Source organism: Homo sapiens, chromosome 1, assembly GCF_000001405.40.
Source record: "Homo sapiens chromosome 1, GRCh38.p14 Primary Assembly".
Taxonomy (NCBI): domain Eukaryota; kingdom Metazoa; phylum Chordata; class Mammalia; order Primates; family Hominidae; genus Homo; species Homo sapiens.
The window spans coordinates 74,748,103-74,769,868 of record NC_000001.11 but is presented as its reverse complement, the minus strand read 5'-3'; the positions used below and the strand labels follow the sequence as shown (position 1 = coordinate 74,769,868).

Below are 21,766 nucleotides of genomic sequence, written 5' to 3'. Positions count from 1 at the left end.
CAATTAATAGCTACCAAGAGATTTCTTGGTTTGTGTGGTTATGTAAGTATAAACAAAATGCTATGTATATATAGTACTGGGAAAGTGCTATGGAAAAACAGGAATGTAAGAAGTTAATTATGAAATGAGCTTTTAGGAAAGCTTCTCAAAAGAGTTAACATTTGAGCTGAGCCCTGATTGATGAGTAAAATTTAAAGAGCACTAAAGATCCTAGGCAAGTGCCAATACAAACAAAATCTTTAATAATGTTACTAGAAGGAAAGCTCTATGAAGGCAGAGTCCTTGTCCTGTTGCATGTGACTGACATATAGTGGGTGCTCAAAAAATATTTGTCATGTAAATGAATAAATAATAAAAATGGCATGTAAACAATCTGGTTATTGAGAAATAGTTCACTTTCTTCTTGCATGGTTTAGATTTGGTGGTGGTGAGGACATTCTTTTCAATTATCCTTGGAATAGCTAAAGAACATAGATCATTTCTATAATATACAAGTGTATGAAAGGTTTGTGTAAATATAATTTATTGAAATATCTGGGAAAAGGTATATAGAAAGAAATAATTATTAGAACCTTTAAATAATCTGCCTCTGATTTGAAAATGAACCAAAAAGAACTAGAAATAATTAAATATAATCTTTGAAATGTAAAACTCAATGGACTATCTAGGCAGTAGATTAGACACAGTTGAAGAGGGTATGAGTTAACTAAACAATAACCCGAGTGAATGACACAGAATGACACACATAGAGATGAAGAGAAGCTGGTGAAGGGGGATGAAAAGATTAGACAATATGGAGAATAGGCCCATAAGTAGGTATAATATAGGACTAATAGACTAATAGTTACAGGAGAGAACAGAATTGAAGAGAGATGAAGAGAGGCATGAAATATGGATTTTAGTCAAGAAACATCAATCTTGGCTTATCAATTGTAACAAAAAGTCCCACACTAATGTAAGATGTAGGATATATAAGATAAAGGATATCATGTGTGGGCAGATGAAGTGGGTACATGGGAACTATCTGAACTTTTTCTCTCAATTTTTCTGTAAACCTAAAACTGTTCCAAAAAATGTTATTAAAATAGATGAATAAATAAATAAAATTTGCAATGAGTTAAAGTTATAGTTTAAATTCAACCACATTAAAGGCAAAACCAAAAAGGGCTCATAAATTCTTGCTTGGCAAGAATAGAATGCATAAAAACCCAGGACATTAAAGGACTGTTAAGTTTAAAAACATTAGCATTTGTGAATATTAAAATCCTATTGCATTAGAGAAGCGTGAATGTTGACAGAAGCCCAGTAGAGTATGGAAAGAAGAGGCTTGAAGGTCAAAGCCCATTTTTAAAAGCCAAAAATCATAACTAAAAAATAGTCACTATTATACACCTTATATGGGAGTGTAATATTTACTCCCCGCAACTCCAGTCAAATTAAAGCCTGCTCAAGGAGCCATCTATAAGAATAAAGATGGTGATCATTTTTCATGGCTCTTCAACACTTAACCCAGCAAATCATATAACTCATCTCAAAATGGAGAAAGCCCTTGTTTTCAAAACGTGGTGCTCATCACTGCCTTTGCTCACATTTGAAATCAAGTGGCTCTGAAAAGGACTACGGTTTACTCCATCTAAGGGTAGCCACTGAGATCTTTGCCCTAGCTTCCAAAACATCCACCCTTGCAGGCTTCCAAACAGCTACCCATTGTCCTGGAACCCAAGGGCGCCACATGTGAGCAGGAGTCAAGTCCTGGCACATCACAGAATCTGCAGCACTCTGCCTCTTTCTCAATGTGGGGAGGAGGGTTAAACACCCAGTTGAGTGGGAAGGCACCCATTTCCCTTAAAGCACCAAGCCTCACGTATGTGCAACCTGTGCAGCTTGCATAGGGCCCCGTGCTTAGATGTACCTGTACGTGATTTAGTGCTCCGCTGTTGCCATCTTGTAATTCTTAAACCTTTTTTAAGGGTCCCACATTTTCATTTTGCACTGTCCTTTGAAAATTATATAGCTGATCCTGCTCCCATCTCTTATTTATTATATAATATACTAACATAATAATAGACTTTAATTCTCCCCAAAGATCTAACCAAAGTTTGCCAATGCTGGTGCCCACAGGGACCAAACAATGTGTAAATGATTGAAGCAGTTGTGTCAGGGAACCAGTAGGGGGTGCTGGGTCTGGGGTGAATAGGAAAACAAGTCTTATCCAAAAGGAGGAGCTAGTACTTGAACGGCTAAGTGTTGTCCTGTGGGAATGTGAGACGGCTCCAGCCAGATCTTCCAATTAAAAAAACACACACAAAACAAACTAGAGATGCGCTTTATAGTTTTAAATATTAAATCATCATATTTTAAAATGTTGATTCAATTAGAAAAAATATACTCCATGTGGGCCAAACAAAACATATCTGCTTGGCCATAACTTGGACAAGTTACAGCTTATGACTTCTGGCCTAGAACCTCAAAAGCAAAAGCATGTTCCTTAGTTTCCCTCCTTGTTTTTCAATAAGGTTGACTTCATTTTTCCTCTCTCTTTTAGAACACAAAAGCAGTTAACTTGTAGGTGATATGAGGAATCCAGACCGTAGGAATAAATGCTTGCCTTCATCCTGAAGGAAGGAAAAAAATCATTTTATTTTGGATGGAGCCACTACAATGAAAACAAATATAATGCCATTCTCAATAGGCAGGTTATGGTGTGTATTAAATTATTACTAAACTGCTGTGTTTCAGTTATTGATATTGGTGATCAGGCATAAATAAAACACATAAATAAAATAGTTGTGTGTTGTTTAACAATAGAAACATGTTCTGAGAAATGGGTTGTAAGGTGATTTAGTCACGCAAACATCACTACTGGGCCTACATGGTGGAGCCTATTGCTTCTAGGGTACAAACCCGTACAGCATGTTAGTGTGCTGACTACTGTAGGCAATTGTAACACAATGATAAGTATTTATGTATTTAAACATATCTAAACATAGAAAAGGTACAATTAAGATATAGTATAACAGGTGAAAAATAGCACATCTGTGCAGGGCACATACCATGAATGGAGCTTGCAGTACTGGAAGTTGCTCTGGGTGAGTCACTGAGTGGTGAGTGAATGTGAAGGCCTAGGATGTTCTGTATAAACGTATTACTGTATAAACTTTATAAACACTGGACACTAAGACTACACAAAATTTCATTAAAAATGTTTTATTTCTTCAATAAATTAACCTTGGCTCACAATGAACATTTGGTTTATAAACTTTAATTTCTTAAAACTTTTTGACTCTTTGGTAATAATGCTTAGCTTATTGTACAGCTGTACAAAATATTTCTTTATATCCTTATTCTATAAGCTTTTTTATATATTTTTTTTAACATTGGAAAAACCTTTTTGTGAAAAACTAAGATATAAACACACACATTAGCCTAAGCCTACACAGGGTCAGAATCCTCAGTATCACTGTCTTCCTCCTCCACATCTTGTACCACTGGAAGGTCTTCAGGGGCAATAACACACATGAAGCTGTCACCTTCTATGATAACAATGCCTTCTTCTGGAGTACTTCCTGAAGGACCTGTCAGAAGCTGTTTTACAGTTAACATTTTAAGTAGTATACCCTAAAATAATGATAAAAAGCATAGCAAAGACACAAACCAGTAACATATTATCAAGTATTATGTATGCACTGTACATAATTATATGTACCATACTTTTATATGACTGTCACCACAAACGTGGGTAATGTGTTGTGCTACAGCTTTACAATGACCACATCACTAGCAATAGGAATTTTTCAGGTCCATTATAATCTTATGGGGCCACCATATCGTATATGGTATATGGTCCATCATTGATGATTAAAATGTTATGTAGCTCATGAATGTATATTAAGGAATGTTAAGGAGTGAATGGGATTCAATGTCTTCTTAGGTTTATGGCCAGCACCTGGTGTCTCCTCTCTACTAACCTTATATAAACAGATTATACTATACTATACCTTATATAAACAGATTAGGAAGCAGCCCCTCTCTTCTTAATTCTCATTCATATATTCAGTTTATGGAATCTTTAAAATACATAGTTTTCTTGGAGATCAATTTAAATGAATGAAGAAAAGTCAATGAGCCTCTTAGATTTTAAAACTGCAGAATGTGTTGTCATTTCACCACAGGATAGGCTCGTTCCACCTGCACTCTCTCTTTCCTACTGTTATTTATAACTTTTTTTTTTATTCATTTATCTTCTCTTTTCATTTACTGCACTGCCAGGCAGATACTTTCATATTCTGTCCACCAGACTAGAAGAAATGCTCCAGGCATTCCGACACTGTGAGTTCCCTTTCCTGCCCAAATTTCCTTCCCAGAAGGACTGCTGTATATGTTGGTAGATAAGAATGTGCACTGCACAACTTCGAGTGCCACTGACATTGTCATCTAGGGGAATGTTCCCTCCCAAGTGGTACAGAGTTCAACTTACATAGCTGAACGAGTTGCCATGCTTTCCTGGAAACTGCCTTAGACCCAATGGTAAGGACTATAACTTACCTAAGCTCTTGCTTATTCTCCTATAAAGTGTACACATGAAATCCCTGGCACAGGTACACTGCAACATCTGTTCATGTGACCCTTTTTCTTTTCATTAGAAAAATCTTCAATTCCTCCTCAAATGCTGTCTCCAGGAATAAGTCTGTTATCAGTGGGTTCTAAAAGTGCTGGACTGATTTTATCAGAACCACTTGGATGAGTTGTGTGAAAAATAAAGATTCCTAGACTCCAGGATTAAGATTCTGGTTTGGAAGATCTGCGGCAGGGCCTATTAAAGTAGCATCTCCATGCCTCGTCCTGACCTAGGTAATTCTGATATGCAGCCATATTAAGGAAACACTGTCTACCTCCATGCTAGATTAGAACGGCCCTTCACAGTTGGGCATCAACTACCTTGACTCGCATCACATGCTGTGTTTCAGCCTTTCTGGACTATTCCCCATCACTGACTATACCATGCTTTTTGATGCCTCATATCCATTATATACCCTTTGTCTGCGAGAGGTTTTCTGATTTTTCCCATCATGTGAACTTGTATCTTGTCCTTTTAGTCCTAAATGAAATGGTATCTCCTTGAACTGGAATTCCAGTACTTCCTCACCTGTAATCAATTATTCCCAAATCTTTGTTCCTATAATAATACGTATTATTGAAGTGATACTTAAAAGTTACATGTCCCTAAAAGAATGTTTAAAACTATGTATTTACATCATTAATTTAGTTTATAGCATAAGTTTAAATCACAACCAAAGATATAATTTCTGGCATATCAACTATAATGCTAATTTCCAGCATTAAAATATCCACTATTATTTAAAATAAAGGTCTTTTTACTTAAAATATTTATGCTATCCCTTTTCAAAATGTATCCAAAATAATCTAAATACCTGTCTTAGGTCAGGTTATTTCAGAATAAGACACCATTCAAACATCTTTGATTTATTAAGCAGGTGCTTCTGGGAGAAACTGGTAAAAAAGTAGGGATAACTATAGCATTTCAGGTGAAGTCGTAGGATAAGCCGGGTACTGCTGAGAGCTTAGATGACAACTGCACATCCTCTGGGCAACAAAGTTATAGTTTGAAGCTCTGCACTTGTCATTACTGGCTTATGAATGGCTGATACACTCAACAAACTAAAATACTCTTATGAAGAGCAGCTTTATAAAACCTACTAGAAACATTACGGCCAAGACACATCAGAACCAAAGCTTAGTAATCTTCAGGGAAGATGGTAACATTGATTCCTAGATCATCATCATCATCATTTTCAAGTTCTTCATCACTTTCTTTAGTAATACACTGGGCACGTGTTTTTTCTGGGTTTCTTTTTTTCTTATGAATATATGATGAGTTATTTTTCTCTTTGATCTTGGGATGTAAGTTAGTCATCGTTTCCCTTTCCAAAGCATGCTGTAGGCAGTTGTAAAACCTGTGAAGAAATAAGTACTACTATTATATCTGTGTGTACTGAAACGAAATGACTGAAATACACCAAGAGCTTATAAGTTATGTAAATTTGACTATGTCCCATATTAGCTTTATAAATATAAATCAAATAAATAATATGTTTTATTAGGGAAATAAATGCATTTCAGTTCTTTAAGAACAGCCCTGAAAACTGGATTGGAATCACCTCTTGACAACCTCTGTCCTACCTCACTTTCCAACCCAAATGTAGGGGTCAAAGAAGAGGGTAAAAAAGAATGCAATTATTATTACATAAATGTAATGGCTCATTTTAGGTAATTTGTATAATGTGTGAGGTTACAAATACAGATCACCTCTACATAACTAGAAATAACTCCTCTCAATATTTTTCTTTTCAGTTTATTAATGTAGTCTGAATTAATGTATTTATTAATTAATCCATATACCTATTTGTCACAATTAGAATATTACATATAAAGTTTTACATTGTTTTTTCAAAGTTATTATTTATTGAGAGTGGCAGTACAACATTATGTCATCTAGATTGGCCTTTATTTACATTCAAATTTTCCCTGATACAAACAAAAATGTGGTAAGCATTTTTGAAAATGATGTGATGTGAGTTTTTAGCCATTTCTTTATATAGACACCTAGAAATATCATTACATCGTTAAAAGGCATAAACATTACAAGGCTCTTGATAAATACTGCTTGTTTTCACAATAGATATTCAAAGAAATACGCTTCTAATAGCTGCACTTGAGAGAGATCACTACACCTATACACTGAATATTCCCATCAAAAAACACATTCTACCTGGATGGGTGAAAATGATATCGCATTATTTTAACTTTCATTTCTTTGTAAGTAAAATACAATGTTTCTCATTTATTAGCTATTTGAATTTTTTAGTGTAAATTATTGTTTCCCTTTATTCATTTTTCTATTGGAGTTTTAGTGTTAGTTTTGTGATACAATAAACTGTAGGCTCTCTGAAAACCAGGCCTCATTTCTTTTCTACCCTCATGTTAACACCTAACACAAAACTCTGCTTGACACAGTAGCCTGCAGCAGGCAGCATAGCATGGTGTGTTGCATGCATTTGACACCAACATTCTTTTAGGAAAGGTGATGTCAGCTAATTCCAATTAATTTCCCACAGTCTTGATTTTTCACATTTATAAAGCTGGATATTATTATCCTGTAGCTATCAGGGTTGTCACAGGATTACAGATGATATATGTAAGTACCCAGAGAGTTAGTTATCAAAAATGACTACTTTTATGGAATATAGACTTCATGAGAGCAAGGATCCTATCTACCTGTCTCCTGTTATATTCTGAGCATGTAGTAGAGTGCTGGCATACTCAGTAAGACTATATTGAATAAATGAATGAATAACCCCAGAATAAAAATGTAACTATAAATGTGTTATCCTAGGTCTCAAATCAGAATGATCTGAAAGTTAGGAAACCCCCCTGCCACTGCAGAGATCTCATCTTACTTTTATGTCCTATTATAATGGGAGACTATGGCAAGAAATTTTTGATATCTACAGAATAGATCTCTATTTGGACCAATTTTCATCTTTGTTTGATTCAATAAACAGGCTAAGTTCTACTTACGAAGCCTATAAAACTCCAAAACTCCAAATATCCACATATTCCTAAATATGTCACCTAACTCTAATACATATACAACATGATGAGTACACATCCTGTCCATTTTCAAGAACTTATGCACTCATCACTGTACACCTTGATATCTAGTGCTGTGCTTGGCAAACAACAGATGCTCAATAAATATTTTTATCAATGAATGAATTAATCTCAAAAACAGACACAGAGTTAAATTTAAAAAGACTGAGATGCGTGACATACATAACTTTTTGGGCCTTGTTCCATGGTAACATCCTTTCACTTAATGCACCCTTTACATCCTTCCGTTACTGAAACCTGGCTCCCCTGTAGACACCATCTTCCATCATTCCTCCCAAGCGGAGACTGCTTATGTTTTCCATATCCTGCTACCACAGAGCTGAGAGATGAGGTCAGAATAAAACCGGCTCATCAACATTTTCCCAAATTCCTCCATCTGCCCCTCATGTCATCTACCAATAATGTTTGGTTCCTTACATTGATGAAAACTTCTATGCTTGACTTGATCTTTCTTTCTAGGTCTTGTCACCATCTTAGGTGATGTCAATGACTGGTATCCTTCTCATGTTCCACACAGCCTGTTCAGAATGACTTACATTAACGTTATCTAAAACATAAATCTGAGCATGCCACAAGATGGTGTGGCTCATCCTGATCATAAGACGCCATCCCTGTTATACAACCTCATCTTCTACCATTCTTTATCAACCCTGCACTTTAGGCTTAGGTAACTGAGTGTTTTTTTCTGGATTATACTTTCTTCCTAGAAAATGAAAGATAAGATTAAATTGCTCCTTTATGATCACCGAGAATTAACAGCTTGTGAAAAATGCCTCATCCATCACATTAAAAAAAAGTAATTAAAAAGGAATGTATGCCTTACTTTAATCAACCATTAAAGAACCTAAGAATTCAAAGCTATGTCCTTAGGGTACCAAAACAACTGGTAAAATGGAACAAAGATCCTTTCCTGAATAAAAACTTCAAATACTAGTTTTCCTTTCCCTTTTCTAAGAGAACTTTAAAAGTCCTTTGAGAAACAGTACTCAGTAAGTCAAAAGTTATGTTCTCCCCTTATACAGTAACACTTAAGCCTGATTTTCAAAAGTGCAATTTTCTGAACTCTCACAGGCAACAAAATGAGCTCTGAGATTTAAGGAAAAAAAAAAAAAAGTATGTTCAGGCAACTGTATTTTTTCTCTCCTTGAAAGAAAAGCAAATAGCCTTCAGTTTTTCTGCCTCTGCAGTCAAGATTATCATAGCATAGGACAACTTGTACTTAGTTCTCTTCATAAGTTTTCAGGCCAAGCCTGAGAAAATGAATTCTTGTTTTTCAACGTCAGTTAGAAAACCACTTTCAACAGAAAGCTGGAATTTCTCTAACTTCTCAAACAAAAACACAGAATTGAGGAAACTGAGGCACAATTTTATTTCCTTTAGGCTTCCATCATTCACAAATATCAAAGAAGGCTATTCTAATATGTATTTAGATTTTAACTAGCATTTTCTTTAAAAAACAACATGTATGTGACAGGCCAAGTGCCCAGTACTAGAAGCCCAGAGAAGTGGTCTGTGGTCTGTGCCCTCAAGGAGCTCATGGTTTAACAGGAGCTACAGAACTGTAAAGCCACATTTAACACACCATGAAAAAGATGGGACACAGTGCTCTAACTGAAATCACAAAATGCTCTCCGTTATAAGATCCAATGCCTGGGCTGAACTGCAAGGATGAATGGAAGCTGACAATGTGCTAAGAGAGGAATTAGGAGGAAAAAAGATGGGGGCATGGGGGATGTCCCAGGAAACACTACTAGAAAATAAAATATATGTTTTCGCTTTATATTATTTACTTATTTGGTCTTAAGTATACAGTTGACCCTTGAACAATATGGTTTTGAACTACACAGGTCCACTTACATGCAGATTTTTTTTGAATAAAAGCTACACCAAATATTCCTGCTTCTCCTTCTACCTTCTCTACCTCTTCTGCCTCTGCCACCCCTGAGATAGCAGGACCAACCACTCCTCTTCCTCAGCCTACTCAAGGTGAAGACGATGAAGACAAAGGCTTTTGTGATGATCCATTTCCACTTAATGAATAATAAATATATTTTCTCTTCCTTATGATTTTCTTAATAACATTTTTCTCTAGCTTACTTTATTGTAAGAATACAGTACACAATATATATAACATACAATACATGTGCTAATCAACTGCTTATGTTATGAATAATGCTTCCAGTCAAAGGTAGGATATCAGTACCTAAGTTTCTTGGGAGTCAAGTCATATGTCAGCCAGGTGCGGTGGCTTATGCATGTAATCCCAACACTTTGGGAGGCCAAGGCGGGCAATCACTTGAGTCCAGGAGTTTGAGACCAGCCTAGGCAACATGGCAAAACCCCATCTCTACAAAAAAATACAAAAAATTATCTGGGCTTGGTGGTACATGCCTGTAGTAACAGCTACTCGGGAAGCTGAGGTGGAGGATCACTTGAGCCTGGAAGGCGAAGGTTGCAGTGAGCCAAGATCATGCCACTGTACTCCAGCCTGGGTGACAGTGAGATCCTGTCTCAAAAACAACAACAACAAAAGCCATGTGGATTTTCAACTACATAGGGGGGTGGTAACCCTAACTCCATGTTGTTCAAGGGTCAACTATACAGGGAAATGTGTGTTATTTATTTAGCTGTTTTAGACCCATTTTTAGAAATGGTAAGACTTGACCATGTGCAGTGGCTCATGCTTATAATCCCAAAACTTTGGGAGGCTAAGGTGTGACAATCACTTCTGGCCAGGCCAGGAGTTTGAAACCAACCTGGGCAACATAGAAAGACCTCATCTCTACCAAAAAAAAAAAAAAAGAAAAGAAAAGAAAGAAAGAAAAATGATAAAGACTAGCAACTATGAGGAATCTAAGACAGCTCTTATTCTTTAGTCCTCCTTCTCTGTGTTACCCCTATTTCCAACCTGCTGCCATGTCTGATGGATATTCTGCAGTCTCATTCTCATTCATCTTGTTACTCAGGGACCTATTACTTCTTCCTTAGGCTATAGAAAGAGCCTACTTGTACTCACCCCATCTCTAAACCATCTGACAGGTCTTCCAGAATAAGCATCCTAATGCTTTGAAGCCTTAAAAAAAGTAGCACTATTTATGAAAAAGTCTAGTCAACTAAATTTGTGAACATTTATTAACCACTATTCTCATTCCAGACACTCAGAATATAATGAACAAGAAACTGTTTTTGCCTTTGGAGAACTCAATATAATGTGTTAACTTTCAAGCTCCTTTATCTTTTATCATTAATTCAATAAACATTTCTTGGGCTTCTACTGTGAGCCAGATACATGTTACATTGTAGGATAAGATATCTCAAGTGTGTTTGTGTATGTGTGTAAGGTTGGGGGCTGGTGGGGGGAGTCCTATCTTCAACGTGACCATGTTGCAGTGGAAAAAAAAGATGTGCAATTAAGTAATTGTAATTCAATGTAATAGAAATACCTGTTTTGCACTGGTAAATGATGATAAGAATCAGAACCATGAAAATGGCTGGTAAATGACGATAAGAATCAGAACCATGAAAATGGCTGGTAAATGACGATAAGAATCAGAACCATGAAAATGGCTGGTAAATGACGATAAGAATCAGAACCATGAAAATGGCTGGTAAATGACGATAAGAATCAGAACCATGAAAATGGCTGGTAAATGACGATAAGAATCAGAACCATGAAAATGGCTGGTAAATGACGATAAGAATCAGAACCATGAAAATGGCTGGTAAATGATGATAAGAATCAGAACCATGAAAATGGCTGGTAAATGATGATAAGAATTGGAACCAAGAAAACGGCTGGGGGATTTAGAATAAGGTAAGAAACATATTAAGGAAAAGCTGGTGAGAGATTTTAATTAGATATGTTCAAATGGTTATTGGATATGTTGGCCCAAGACTCTAGAAAGATTTAGAAGACCTGCCAGTACATGGAAAAGTAGCAGAACTAGTTGAAGCCATGGGCCAAGGACAGAAGCTTGGAGAACAGTATTTAATGAAGAGGAAGAAGAGAAACCTACAATGAAACTAAGAAGAAACATCACAAGCAGGAAGAAAAGCAGCAAAGTGATACAACAGAAATTCTTACTCTCTCATCTTCTAGGTAAACCGAACCATTCACTGATCCCTATTTATGGCTTACATATTGCCATCTGTATTAGTCCATTTTCGTGCTGCTGATAAAGACATACCTGAGACTGGGCAATTTACAAAAGAAAGAGATTTAATGGACTTATGGTTCCATGTGGCTGGGGAGGCCTCATGGTCATGGTGGAAGGTCTCACATGGCAGCAGACAAGAAAAGTGAGCTTGTGCAGGAAGACTCCCGTTTTTAAAACCATCAGATCTCATGAGACTTACAATCATGAGAACACCACAGGAAAGACCTTGTCCCCAGGATTCAATTACCTCCCACCAGGTTGCCCCACTGGCCCCTCCCAAATCTCATGTCCTCACATTTCAAAACCAATCATCCCTTTCCAACAGTCCCCCAAAGTCTTAACTCATTTCAGCATGAACTCAAAAGTCCATAGTCCAAAGTCTCATCTGAGACAAGGCAAGTCCCTTCTGCCTATCAGCCTGTAAAATCAAAAGCAAGTTAGTTATTTCCTAGATACAATGGTGGTGTGGGCATTGGGTAAATATAGCCATTTCAAATAGGATAAATTGGCCAAAATAAAAGGGCTACAGGCCCCATGGAAGTCTAAAATCCAGCAGGGCAGTCAAACATTAAAGCTCCAAAATGATCTCCTTTGACTCCATGTCTCACATCCAGATCATGCTGATGCAAGAGGTGGGTTCCCATAGTCTTGGGCAGCTCTGCCTCTGTGGCTTTGCAGGATACAGCTTCCCTTCTGGCTACCTTCACAAGCTGGCACTGAGTGTCTGTGGCTTTTCCAGGTACACAGTACAAGCTGTCGGTGGATCTATCATTCTGGGGTCTGGAGGATGGTAGCCCGCTTCTCACAGCTCCACTAGGCATTGCCCGAGTAGGGACTCTGTGTGGGGGCTCTGACCCCACACTTCCCTTTGGCACTGCCCTAGCAGAGGTTCTCCATGAGGGCCCCGCCTCTGCACTAAACTTCCATCTGGGCATCCAGGTGTTGCCATATATCTTCTGAAATCTAGATGGAGGTCCCCAGATGCCAATTCTTGACTTTTGTCCACTCGTAGGCTCAACACCACATGGAAGCTGCCAAGGTTTGGGGCTTGCACCCTCTGAAGCCACAGCCCCAAGCTCTACATTGGTCCCTTTCAGCCATGGCTTGAGTGGCTGGGACACAGGGCACCAAGTTCCTAGGCTGCACACAGCACAGGGACCTTGGGCCCAGCCCACAAAACCACTTTTTCCTCCTAGGCCTCTGGGCCTGTGATGGGAGGGACTGCTGTGAAGACCGCTGACATGCCCTAGAGACATTTTCCCCATTGCCTTGGGGATTAACATTCAGCTCCTCATTACTTATGCAAATTTCTAGGGCTGACTTGAATTTCTCCTCAGAAAATGGAATTTTCTTTTCTATCACATTGTCATGCTGCAAGTTTTCAAAACTTTTATGCTCTGCTTCCCTTATAAAACTGAATGTGTTTAACAGCACCCAAGTCACCTCTTGAATGCTTTGCTGCTTAGAAATTCTGCCGGATACCCTAAATCATCTCTCTCAACATCAAAGTTCCACAAGTCTCGAGGGCAGGGGTAAAATGCTGCCAGTCTCTTTGCTAAAACATAACAAGAGTCACCTTTGCTCCAGTTCCCAACAAGTTCCTCATCTCCATCTGAGACTACATCAGCCTGGATTTCCTTGTCCATATCATTATCAGCATTTTGGTCAAAGCCATTAGACAAGTCTCTAGGAAGTTCCAAACTTTCCCACATTTTCCTGTCTTCTTCTGAATCCTCCAAACTGTTCCAACCTCTACCTGTTACCCAGTTCCAAAGTCGCTTCCACATTTTTGGGTATCTTTTCCGCAGTGCCCCACTATAGTGGTACCAATTTACTGTATTAGTCCATTTTCACACTGCTGATAAAGACATACCCGAGACCGGGCAATTTACAAAAGAAAGAGATTTAATGAACTTACAGTTCCATGTGGCTGGGAAGGCCTCACAATCATGGTGGAAGGTGAAAGGCATGTCTCACATGGCAGCAGGCAAGTGAAGAGAACTTGTGCAGGGCGACTCCCGTTTTTAAAACCGTCAGATCTTGTGAGACTTATGCACCATCACAAGAACAGCACAGGAAAGACCTGCCCCCATAATTCAATTACCTCCCTCCAGCTCCCTCTCACAACACATGGAAATTCAAGATGAGATTTGGGTGAGGACAAAGCCAAACCATATCACTATCTCTTTTTCCTTTGTTCATGCTCTTCTTTTTTATCTATCATGCTATTTCCCCCTCCCACAGAGCTCTTCATATAAAAACCCTGCCTGCATTTTAGGCCCTGCTCAGTGACTTCTTCCAATATGCTTTCTTTGATTACACTATACCACTTCTGAGTATATATCCAACAGAACTGAAAGCAGTGACTCAGATACTTGTACAATGATGTTCAGAGCAGCATTTATAATAGCTAAAAGGGAAAGACACCTTAAATGTCCATTGACACATCAATGAATAAACAAAATTCAGTCTATAAATACAATGGAATATTATTCACTCTTAAAGAAACTGAAATTCTGATACATGTTATAGCATGGATGAATCCTACATTAACGAAGTAAAATAGGCCAGATACTGGAGGATGCATATTGTATGATCCCACTTAGATGAATTACCTATAATAGTGGAATTCATAGAGAAAATAGAATAGTGATTACCAGGGGAATGGAGTACGAGGAATCGAGAGTTAGTGTTTAATGGGTAGAGAAGTTTAGTTTGTGATGATGAAAACGTTCTGGAGATGGACAGTGGCGACAGTTGCATAACAATGTGAATGCACTTAATGCCACTGGTTAAAATGGTAAATTTCCTATTGCGTACATTTTATCAGAAAATAGAGTTAAAAAAAAAACTATTGAAAGTGGATTCAATTACTTTTCTTCCAGATTTGCTTTATCAACAATATTAGATGACAATATATTCTGCCCCTTTATTGTACATTTTATGTAATATTTTCTCATTACACAGTTGGTGAAAAGCACATGGCTAATTTTATGCTACTCATAGCCAGATGATGGTTTCATCTGACCCATGTGCTGACTGCTTATTAATAGATTCAAAGATAGCCTTCCTCTTGTAGTCAGTCAATAGCTATCCAAATTTCTCTAGATCGTTATGTATGAATTGTCTTCCTACATCTGGTGTCAGTCCCTGTCTCTTCCAGTCTCCAAATTAGCTGTTTATAAAGCAGTCTGCTGCTTGAAGGTCTTGTCTTGCCCAGCTCCAGAAACAACAGGAACCCAATGGATAAGTCTCTTCCCATAAGAAGTGGGCTTAGGAATTGTTTCTCATGAACAAGGCCTTTTTTTTTATTAAAAATATTCTACCTCTTTAATTTTCACATTTATAGAATATTTCTTATTGCTGAAATGTTTTTCAGGATTTTTTGTTTTTGAAATTCTCTGAATTGTGAAACTTTGGTCCTATGGCAAACCAATCTTAGTACTTAATGAATGTCTGATTGCATAACTCATCACCTCAAGGATTTTTTTCTCTTTTCAACATCAGAAGAGTAACTCTTTCACTGCATTTGGTTGAACATACAGCTGTTCCCAAAGGAGCTCCTTAATTTGTTCTCACTTTCTAAATTCACATGTAATCTTCTAATCAGTATCTTAAGACATTTTTACCCTTCTTTAATTTTTCCCTGATTTTATATGATAAGCGTGGCTCTTAATGGCAGCATGCACATTATAATCTCAAAACATATTTTTGAGTCAATGGATTTAAGCATAATTTGATTTTATAGTTGGTGAACGTGGCTCAATTAACTTCACCAGGTGTACAGTTAGTTGATCTTGGGCTCTATTTATAAGCTTGTTAAAATTCAAGAAAGGAAACAGAGAAAACTGATTTGCTACCTCCTATGTTTTAGCAAACAGTCTCACTGGATTACAATTTAATAAGTGGTAAACTTATGGAATGGTACCAGTAAATACTTACATATAGTAGTCTGTAGTCTGGTGGAATGGGTTTTGCTTATTTAAAAGTATTACTTTAGTTAGAATACCTGCTCAAAGTATTTTGTGGCCAGGTTTTTGTGGTCAGTTTTTCTCAACCAGGGTGTGGCTGGAAAATTAAGCTCTAGTACCCTAAGACATCCATTGTAAGTAATGAATTGACTTTTCTCCAATGTATCTAAAATAGTACATGTTACATAAAATCCTTGGGAGAATTCAGAAAATAGTCACTCAAATAACTTTGTGAATTGTGTGGTTCAAATGAGGAACCCTAGTTGAGAAAGCCTGAATGGTGATATTTTTATGATTATAGGTTTATTCTCCATGAATCAATGAAGGAGAATGGCTATCCTGTCCTGAGAGTCCAAAACATAACAGGGTCAGGGCAGTCATTATAAATACACTATCTAATGAATATAATAATTATTCTTTAAGATAGGTATTTCCCAGAAGTTAGAGATAAGAAAATTGAAGTCTGGAAAGTTGAGCAATTTGGTGGAACCAGACTGAGTAACTCAGAACCACGATTTGAACCCAGTTCTGCCTTGGTGGCATACTTCTACCTCACTTCACCCTTTTACACTGCCACCACTAGCACTTGTTGGCCTTCAATGCTTCAAAAAAAGTTCTAAGTATTAAAGAATCTTAAGCAGGCAAGTTAAGCAACAGGAATCCTTTGCACTTTACAAACATGATTTGATAAAGAATGGCTTAGCAGAGAGGCATACCAGAAGCATCCTGAATGAGGCTATTGTGATGGTCATGAATGAGGAAAGAAGCAGTATGGATGGAGACAGAATGACTGAAGAGATATTCAGACAGCGATTGACTGAATGGAAGTAGCCAAAAGAGTGGAGAGAAGAAAAAAGAAAATTATAAACGACATCAAATTGGCTATTACTCCTTGGATAACTCAAAACTGTGCATCTAGCTGATGGTAGGTCAGTGGCATTACTTTCATATATGAAAGACAGCATAATATTTACTACTTTATATATAAACTTTATTCTTGGGAAAAAGTTGTTAAAGAAAATAATATAGAAGTTTCCTTTGCCAGGAGGTAACGATGAAGAACAAAAGAAGTATGGAGATGTGAAATGAAAGCCATACCTTCCTATTTAGAAAGTTATGGCAATTCTAGATCTAATCCATGACAAGAGTTTGGTATTAAACTAGCCTAAGCCAGAGAAGTGAAATATTTATCAGACAAAAAAAGTCAACCAGGCTGTTCCCCTCAACAGGAAAGACTAGGTAATCTCTGATAGGTCCCATCTAGGGGCAGTGTGCATCTCTTCCCTGGCTGCCTTCAAATTGATCAGTTACAGTTCCTGTGGCTGCTGGGCTGTCCTTCCAGAATAATTATGTTTCTCCCCTTTATGCCAGCTTCTGGTGGTCACGTGCCTACCATCCCCCAGAGAGCCTCTCCCGTATGCTCCATTTAGTGCCCATGGCAGCCAGACCTACTCTCATCTATTACTTTGATCATCTTTTTATTATTAATGATAATAAAAGTATTTTTAAATTATCTACAAATAGATAAGCAGTTGGCATTATAAACTGAAGATAGTAAGTATTAATGTTTTCAAGGATGATCTAGGCATATAAGAATAACATGGAAATACCCAATTAATATACCTCTCAATTCTTTTCTTGTTTTCCTCCATTTTTTGATTTGCCACATTTAACAGGAAGTCAATATATTCCTCTGTCACCATCAGTTTTCCCTTATGGCTTAATGGAACTTCTAAGCCATGTGTACTCCGGACAGCCTACAAGGAAAAAACAATTTAGATATGAAGACTTAGATACCACAGAAACTGAAAATAACTCAAGAAAAGTCCCGTCAGGGCTGTGTTTGAACATACTTTAGTTCCATTACAACAGTTAAGTTAGCGCTTTGATAGAATTTAGCTGAGCACAGTTAAAGCAAAGGAGATTAAATAAAATTTTTTCCATCATCTACAGTCATTTCTAAAGAAAGATATTCTGTACGTTACCTTTCAGAGAAACAGATGATATCAAAGAATCAAATAACTTTTAACAATTTCAATCTCACTATAGCTTAGAAAGCCATAATACACGACTTAAAGAAAGAAAGAAAACCTCAACAGAAATCTCAAGGGAAAATAAAAAAGAACTGGATGCCAAAGGGTCTCAGTGCTCTTGGAGCAGAGCACAGTTACAAGAGTAAACTATGCCTCCTCTATCATACACAGGAGCTGCTTCTCAATGCTTTAGGGTTCACAATCTTAATAGCCCTGTTGATGAAATAGTCAACATGTTCCAAGTAGAGGCAAACACTGGATAGAGGTTAAGAACAACCATACAAGGTCTATAAAAATTATTATGAGAATAAAAATTCACTCCATACATTTTCTTTTTTTTTTTTTCAGACAGAGTTTCACTCTTGTTGCCCCGGCTGGAGTGCAATGGTGCAATCTCGGCTCACAGCAACCTCCGCCTCCCAGGTTCAAGCGATTCTCCTGCCTCAGCCTCCAGAGTAGCTGGGATTACAGGCATGCGCCACGCCTGGCTAATTTTGTATTTTTCATAGAGACGGGGTTTCTCCATGTTGGTCAGGCTGGTCTTGAACTCCCAGTCTTAGGTGATCCACCCACCTCGGCCTCCCAAAGTGCTGGGATTACAGGCATAAGCCACCACGCCTGGCCATTCCATAAACTTTTGCTGAGCATCTGCAATGTTCTAGGCTCCCTATAAGGCATGAAGATACAGGGTGACTATAACATGACCTCTGGCTTTAAGACTTATGACAGAAGAAACACACATGCATGCATGTGCATGTACATACACACACATACACACACACTGGCAAGAAAATGTTGAAGAGAAGCAACTGAGTCTAAGAACTCAGCTTTATGGGAAAGGCAGCAATTGAGTTGGGATTTTAAAGGATGAGTGCAATTTCACCAGACATAAAAATTAAGAAGGGGCCGGGCATGGTGGCTCACGCCTGTAATCCCAACACTTTGGGAGGCCAAGGAAGATGGATCACCTGAGGTCAGGAGTTCGAGACCAGCCTGGCCAACATGGTGAAACCCCGTCTCTACTAAAAATAAAAAAATTAACCAGGCATAGTGGCAAGGGCCTGTGTGTAATTCCAGCTACTTGGGAGGCTGAGGCAGGAAAATCACTTGAACCTGGGAGGTGGCGGTTGCAGTGAGCTGAGACTGAGACATTGCACTACAGTCTGGGCAATAAGAGTGAAACTCTATCTCAAAAAAAAAAAAAAAAAAAAAAAAGGAGCGGGGGAGAGAAAGGGAGAGGAAGAACTCCAGCCAGAGGCACCACTTATCTGTGGGCATAGAGACATAAAAGAGCATGATACCCTTGGAAAACAACCAATAGTTCTATATAGCTGGAGCATAAGTATGTAATTGGAAGACGAACATAAACAGGTAGATGCAAAATAGTCTGGGTAAGACCCTGAATACCAAGAAAATGTTTGGAGGCCCTGAGGTTTTTTTTATTTTATTTTTGAGACAGAGTCTTGCTCTGTTGCCCAGGCTGGAGTGCAGTGGCATGATCTTGGCTCACTGCAACCTCCACCTCCCAGGTTCAAGCAATTCTCCTGCCTCAGCCTCCCAAGTAGCTGTAATTACAGGCACATGCCACCATGCCTGGCTAATTTTGGTATTTTTAGTAGAGATGGGGTTTCACCATGTTGGTCAGGCTGGTCTCGAACTCCTGACCTCAGGTGATCCACCCACCTCAGCCTCCCAAAGTGCTGGGATTACAGGCATGAGCCACCGCGCCCAGCTGAGGCCCTGAGTTTTTTAAAGGGGGATTCTGAGAGCACTGGTTGGAGGGACTCAAGGAGAAGACCTAAAGTAAGAAGACTAGTCGGGAGACAATGGTAAAGACTGAGGTTAGGGATCTTGAGGGCTGGGCAGTGCCAGAAGACCTAGGGTGGGGTCAAGTATTAGAAACGAGGGGCAGCATGGATAGGACCTATAACGAATTGAATATGGAAACAAAGAAGAAGGTGAAAGAATGGCTCTGCTTTCATCTGGGATACCAGATGGAGTAAAGAGTGAGATGGGGACATAAACCAGTACTACGGGCTTTAATTTTCTTTTCTTTGTTTTTTTGAGACAGAGTCTTGCTCTGTCCAGCCAGAGCGCAGTGGCGTGATCTCTGCTAACTGCAACTTCCACCTCCTGGGTTCAAGTGATTCTCCTGCCTCAGCCTCCTGAGTAGCTGGGACCACAGCTACGCACCACCACGCCCAGCTAATTTTTGTATTTTTAGTAGAGATGGGGTTTCACCAGGATGGTCTCGATCTCTTGACCTCGTGATTCGCCTGCCTTGGCCTCCCAAAGTGCTGGGATTACAAGCATGAGCCACCACGCCTGGCCAGGCTTTGATTTTCTATTCAGCCATGCTTTAAGGGTGTCCTCTTTTGTCATCCACCCCTATTTGGGAAATAGGTTATTGTTAAAAATAGAAAATAGGAGAATATAGGAAGGTAGAAGGAGGGTAATCTCAAATAGTTCAAAAACATGCCATGCCAAACAGTAAATATCACAGGAGATCAGAATAGGGAGAAATATCTAAGGGCTAGCTTGGCTAGAGAAGGACTCAAAAAGAAAGCAAGTCTTAAAGATCATCTAGTCGAAAGGTCAGCAAATCTTTTCTCTAAAAGGATAGATAGTAAACATTTTTGACTTTGCAAGGCATATAGTATCTGTCACAACTACTAAAGTTTGCCATTGTCTCACAAAAGCAACCTCAGACAATAAGTAATCAAATGAGTATAGTGGGATCCTGCCCCATGTGGGCTGAATGTGGCCCTACGACAGTAGTTAGCTGGACCACTGATACTGCTGAGAAAATTCAAACCCTGAGGGACTGAGGAGCTTGCCCAAATTCACACAGCTGTGATCCAGCAGGTATCAGTAAAGGGGACTTTGAACTCTCTCTGTGACTCTTTCCATGATGTCATAGTGCTTTGGGGCCTTGCCTACTTAGGATGAGGAGGGCAGAGTTAAGAATCAGGTTAAAAGTAAGTGGAGAAGAATATTATTAAATAAGACCTCAACTGTAAATCCAAACTCTGGACTTTGCCCTGTAGGAAGGAGTAAGTCACTGAGGGTTTATGAGTAAGAGAATGGCAAGAAGATTTGAGAAAGGAGACATTAAAGGCAGGAGTCTAATTAGGTTATTCAATTTCTGGATCACTTTACACTAAAAAAATTACTCTTTGACAAAATATCTTACCAACATAGTTTTTCCTCTCTTTCCCACCGTTATGCCAGAGTTCCTGAAACCAGAATCTATTGCCATGGAATGCTGTAAGAAAATAAAACTTGTTACATTTTGATACTGTGGGTAACCAGATCATCTGTTTGGCTCCACAAACTACAGAAACATATATAACCCTAAAAGCTATTAAGGTTTTTAAAAAAATTTTTCGTCTAGCCAATACGGACTATGCTTAAAAATGACTTTGATCAAACTCCTAACATCAGGAAAAATATTGAAATATGAACTATGGATGTGTCATTGAGAAAGAGTAAAAGTAGAATTCAATCACAAACAGTGACATTTGGCTAGTGATTGCTTCCAGAAAGCAGAATGTAACCAAAAAACAATCATTCTTCTAATTGTGTTGTATAAAAATAAACAAAACAAAATCTTTTAAAATGAGTACAATGTTTCTCAATATCCCTTCTATTGCTTAAAAAACTTTGTTGAAATGATATAAGAAAGCATAGCAAGCACACAAATTCTGATCTGACTGAGGTGACTTTGTAAGTTATTTTGTCAGTCTCTAAATGTCAGAGAGCCCTGGGGAGCAGACATGGGTCCCTTATTTTCTCCAGCTCAGTAGTTCTTAAGCAAGAATAATTTTGAACCCCAGGGGCCATCTGGCAATATCTGAAGCCATTTTTGGTTGTCACAACTCAAGGGAAGAGGAAGGGAGATCTCTAGCAAATA

The 21,766-nt window shown here is 38.3% G+C and overlaps 1 protein-coding gene across 4 annotated transcripts in view; it reads right to left on the bottom strand.

Moving 5' to 3' along the window:
* Positions 1 to 3,191: 3,191 nt before the first annotated feature.
* TYW3 (tRNA-yW synthesizing protein 3 homolog) overlaps positions 3,192 to 21,766 on the bottom strand; it is a 33,526-nt gene continuing 14,951 nt past the window's right edge. For 3 of the 4 annotated variants that reach the window (NR_027962.2, NM_138467.3, NM_001162916.2), the window contains 3 exons: positions 21,047 to 21,118; positions 17,444 to 17,577; positions 3,192 to 5,975 (listed from right to left, as the gene is read on the bottom strand). Coding sequence is in view for 3 of the 4 variants with exons in the window: in NM_138467.3 (NP_612476.1) it covers positions 5,756 to 5,975; positions 17,444 to 17,577; positions 21,047 to 21,118 (426 nt within the window). In the remaining variant the exon portion in view is untranslated. The remainder of the gene's footprint in view (positions 5,976 to 17,443; positions 17,578 to 21,046; positions 21,119 to 21,766) is intronic. The other variant, XM_006710347.3, reaches the window with a different exon arrangement.